Genomic DNA, 5,742 nt, shown 5'->3' on the forward strand with positions numbered 1-5,742 from the left:
ATTTATCTTTATATTGCCATTTCTAAATCTGCTTAGACTCTAAAATTATTTAACTTGTATTAATAAATTCAGGGTGATGAGAGAAAAAAACGTAAATCCAATTATTCTTTCATTAACTTACTCAAAAATTGTATCCATTCATTTATGTATTCGCTCAGAAATGTCTGTGTGGTTAACACTGTGCATACTACAGAAATAATTTAATGATGACTATCAAATATACTTGCCCTTGAATAGTTGCTTTTATGACAGTGTCTTTTAAACTTTTGGGGGTCAAAATTTTGAACCCTCAGGTTTTATTTTTGAAAAACTAAAACTGTTTTTAAAAAGTAGTAACTGTGTAAAACATGAATCTAATCAAACCTAGAGACCATCCACAAATTTACAAGTAATTTGCAGAAAATACAAAGAAAGGAGAATTAGAAGTTAAGTGACAATATCAAATGGAGTCCTCCAAATCCAGATTATGAGACATTCTATGGAACAAATAATCTCCAACAATTCAATAGCACAAAAAGGAGAAAGGGTGATCATCACAATAAAAGAGACTTTAGAGGTTTACCAATCCAAAGGTGAACTTTAAGTCCTAATTAGAATAATTGAATGACAAAATCTAATAGTCCAATTACACAATGACATATGAGACAATTGGGGAGATTTGATGATGGGCTGAGAATTAAATGAGGTTAAGGAATGACTGTTCATCTTGCTAGTTATAGTAAGGCATGGTGACCATGTAAGGAAAAAACAATTGAAGATACATACTAAAGATTTTATAGAAGAAATGACATGATATGAGGGATTTGCTTTAAAATACTCCAGAAAAATACAGTGCAGGGATAAGTAAAATAAGCATTGCAAATTGTTCATAATGACTCCAGGGGAATTTGTATAACTTCCCCTGGAGTCTCTACTTCAGTGATTGTTTGAAAATTCCCCTAATAAAAAATATTCTTTAAAATATGCATTCTTTCCAGAAAATTAATACCTTCAAATAGAAATCATATTTTGTTTACAATTTGAGGGGGGGTTACATAGTGCTAAACCTATTTCAGATTTTAAAATCTTGATATAGTGGGAGAAGGAAAATATTTGAGTATAATCTCAAGGGAGAATACTATTAATAAGAAAGAAATTGCCATGGAGATTAGACAGGTGTTAGCTCTTTGTAACCACCAAAAGCAGAGCCTAGGTACCCACAAAAATAGAGAAAGGAAGAGCGACAAGAACAACTCTGAGACCTGTGTGGACTTTACTTCTAGATTTGCAAAGGATTTAAAGGAATGAATGACACAGGACACAGGGAAGGCAGAGGAGCTTAAAAGTAAAAATGAAAAAGAAACAAATGAGATGGTGAGGCTAAAAGAAAGGAAACTACAGTCAGCCAACATCTTTCTTCAACAAGCATAGCATCTAGAACATCCCAGCTCAAGCCCATCCTGGATATAAAACTAGAAATACTACAAATGGCATTTCTGAGTAGTCCTGAGGGATGCTGAGGGGCAGGGTATGGGACGAGGAGGTAATATCTATTCCAAAATTCTAAAATACTTTGCTTATAAAGAAATTCTACTGTAAGTCTTATTGTAAAGGGAAACATTTTTGTAAAACCAATCACCACTACCCATTTTAACGTGTAGTCTAATGTTTATTATGATGATAATGTTACTTTGTAGCTATGCAGGAGTTTTAAAGAAGAGCACTGTAACATTTTCTTATTCAAATCCCTCAACTGGATACAACCCTCCTGTAAAACAGAAAATTCACTTTTCTTCTCCACTGTGTACCCAGATCCTAGAGCAGCACCTGGCTGGTAGGCACTTAATAAGTATTTTTTGAATTAAAAAATAAATTACCTGGCCAGCATGGTGAAACCCTGTCTCTACTAAAGATTCAAAAATTAGCTGGGCATGGTGGTGCATGCCTGTAGTCCTAGCTACTCAGGAGGCTGAGGCAGGAGAATTGCTTGAACCTGGGAGGTGGAGGTTGCAGTGAGCTGAGATTGTGCTACTGCACTCCAGCCTGGTGACAGTGAGACTCTGTCTAAATAAATAAATAAATAAATAAATAAATAAATAAATAAATAAATAAATAAGGTTCCACTTCTGAGAATGGTGGGCTGGTTAACATAACTGAGCCTTCTACTAAGAACAACTAGAAAACTTGAACACTTTCAGCCCAGTAAAGTTGACACATAAAATTAACCATCCACTTCCTAAGCATGCTCTCCCAGAGATCCTTGTATGTAATTCTTCACAAACTTGTTGCTGTCCAGTGCCTCCAAGCATTGGACTCAGGCTGAGTCCAAAGGCTGAATTACACCACTGGCCTTCCTGGTTCTCCAGCTTGCAGACAGCAGATGGTGGGACTTCTCGGACTCCATAGTTGAATGAGCTAATTTCTATTTAACACACACATGCACATATACATATATATACACTTATATATATATATACGTATATATACACTTATATATACGTATATATATATATACACATATATATGTATATTATTGGTTCTGTTTCTCTGGAGAATCCTGACTAATCCAGGAAGTTAAACTAGAAAAAAGAACAAGGAAGTGGTTGCTACGATAATCAGGTTATGCTTGGAGGAGGAGGACAGGTTAGTGACTCAGAAGAAGCATGAGGGAGATTTTCAGGATACGAATAATGTTCTATATTTTTATTTAACCTGGTTGTTTGTGATAAACCATGAACCATTATACTGTATATCATTCTGTTATACATTTATCTGCACATTTGTTAAATTTCATAACAAAACAGCTTTTAAAAATATTCTTAAAATATAAATAAATGAGTCTTGATCATGTTAATCATTTGAAGTTAGAAGTACTTCAAAAGTATACAGGAATTGGAGTAGCATTTCATTCCTGTAAATAGCTTCTCCTCTTTGCTTTGCAGAATAAAATTAGAGGACTCCAAACAGGCAGTTCTGGCCATCATGAGCCATCTTGGGCATTGTGAGGAAGGGGACGTAAGAACAAAAGATAGATCTGAAGGCGCTGCCTAGACAAGGTCCATTTTTCTTTATGCCTCATGCCTAAGAGACTAAAAGAGAAAACATATTTGTCTTAGGCAAAGGCAAAAAAAAAAAAAACAAGCTTTCCAGACTGATCATTAGAGCCTTCCCACACACATTCAGAATAACGATGGCTGGACAGCGAACATTCCTCAGAAAAGCGAAAGTTTCCAAGTGAATGCAACAGAGTTCTCCGCTCACATTCCAGTTGAAGAAGTGAGATAAAGACAAGCCCACGTGCAAAGAACTGTATATTTCTAATAAGCAAATCATGACAATGGGGAATGCCTAAAAATCCATTAGCTGTTCTTCAAGCAGATCTTTGGGGAGACATCATTATCTGTTTTGACTGCATTAAGAAAGCAGCTTTGGAAAGCCTGTTAGAGAGCTTTACAAAATAATCTTTTGACAAGCTGCTCTTCTAGTGGACTGTGGAAAACCTGATAAAACTTTGGTTTTTCATGTTGATCCCTTTATTTGTTTTGTTCGTATGCAAGCTGCCATTTCAGAGCCAGGAAAGTCATCAGCAGCCTATTGCGGCCATTCTCTAAGCAGTGTAGGGCATTTTTCCCTTAATCTTACCTTTCTCCCTTAGAATAATTTAGACTCTATCTGGGACTAACAGGCACACACTGCCCCCATCAGGTTAAACTACCCTGCAAAATCAGATTCTCTAGAGAAATTAAAATAAACTGAGTGTAGCAAGTACATATGCATAGAAAAGCAGACATATTTCAAACTTCTGGATTATGCTTAAGATTATTTCTATTTAATGCAACCTGCCCCTAAAGAAGCTTATTTTAAATGAATCACTCTTTAAATAGATCATTATTTGAATTCTCAGTTGTCAGGATTGACTCCTTAATTCTGATACCGTCGACCTGGTTGTCTTATATCCTCACTTCTGACTTAGCAAAGTAGCCTGAGAGAAAAACTATCATTTCTTTCCTCTGATCATTCAATTCTTTAATTTTTAATGAAATCCAGTTAATTCAGAACCATTATTAGGTTCTATAATGGAAACTATGCTATTACACAATGTTAATGCCCCTGTGCATTTTTTAAACAAGAGCTATATGCTTTATTACTTTATTTTCTTAAATTATCTTTGGAAATCTGAATTTTATGAATAAGTCACTGCAAATGAATTAAACATTGTGATGATGGTAAAATTTACTCATTAGGAATACGTTGAGGTCTTTTGGGAAACAAAGCTAGTAATGGTAAATATCATTTTAGTATTTAGAAGTGCTTATCTATGTATAGCAACATACCAAGCACTGTAGAAATCCATCCTTGATGTAAACTACACTGGTCATGCTGTATATGGTGTAATTTTAAATGGGTTCTTTTTTTTTTTAATTCCCCTCCTGCCTGCCTAGGTATAAAAATTTCCACATCAATTACTTTTTAGAATAAACTATTAAGTCTAAAATCTAATCTAGGTGCAGTAACATATTAAACTAGCTAAACTATCTAGAGGTAGATAGTTTCTAAAGAAAAAATATGCAAAATAGTTAAGTTTTAATGGGAAGAAAGAATGCAGAAAGGAAAAATAAACAGGAAAAATATAGTGCTGCAATACCAAAATGATATTTTCTCTAGTCTGGAATGATCTGCCTGGAGAACCCAAAAATCACTCTTCAAACTGTAACTCAAATGTCATGTCTTTATTTATACTTTTTATCTCCATTAAAGTGACATTTATTTTAAAGTCTATTTTAAAATGGATTTTTCTTGAATGTAATATATCACTACCATCCCAAAGGTAGCCACTACTCTGACATCTGGCACAATAGATGAGTATTGCCTCTTTTTGAATTTTACTTAAGTGGAATCATACAGAGGTTACGTTTTGTGTCTGGCCTTTTGCATTCAACATTCTATTGATAAGATATATTAATATTATTGTATACAGCAAGAGTTTATCACTGCTGCATGGTATGCAATTATGAATACATCATAGTTGATTTATATATTCTATTATTGATGAACATTTATTCAGTATCCAGTTTGAAGCTATTAAGAATGGTGCTTTTGGTGGACTTACGTTCATATTTCTGTTCATCATGTATTTAGAAGTAAAATTGCTGGACATAGGGTATGAGAAAATTCATTGTTAGCAGATACTACCAGTTTTCCCAAGCAGTTACATCAGTTTCTGCACCAACCAGCAGAGTTCAAGAGTTCCAATTCCTTCATATCTTTGTCAACATTTTATGTCTTCCATTTATTTCCTTTTATTGATCCTCTTAGGTGCACAGTGATATGTCATCATAATTTTAATTTGGGTTTTTGGAATAATTAGTGAGGTACAGCACTTTTCATATGTTTATTGGAAATTTGGACATTCATTTCTATTAAGTGCGCATTTAGGTTTATTTATCTATTGAATTTCTTCTTTTTATTACTAATTTGAAAGATTTCTTTATATTCAACATGCAAGTCTTGCCATTACAGATATCCATGTAAAAATTATAAATATCACCTCCTTTTTTATGTATTCTGATGTATATGAGGTACTTTATTTTAATGTAATTTATTTTGTTTTTCTTTTACCACTCACACTTTTGGTGCCCTGCTTAAGAAATCATTGCTTACTACTAGATCATGAAGAAAATTTTACTCAGTTTATTTAAGGACTCTTATACCCACAAGAATTACATGAACACATTATCTGACATTGGGTCTTATTTATGGTGT

General features: G+C 33.8%; 1 annotated feature.

The window, feature by feature from the left end:
* Window positions 2,167–2,461: a silencer, noted in NCBI's record as "tiled region #5248; K562 Repressive DNase matched - State 9:DNaseU". NCBI's record gives its function as "represses a minimal TATA promoter and a strong SV40 promoter by Sharpr-MPRA in K562 cells {active_cell/tissue: K562}" and the evidence as "EXISTENCE:reporter gene assay evidence [ECO:0000049][PMID:27701403]".

This window comes from Homo sapiens, chromosome 18 (genome assembly GCF_000001405.40).
Source record: "Homo sapiens chromosome 18, GRCh38.p14 Primary Assembly".
NCBI lineage: Eukaryota > Metazoa > Chordata > Mammalia > Primates > Hominidae > Homo > Homo sapiens.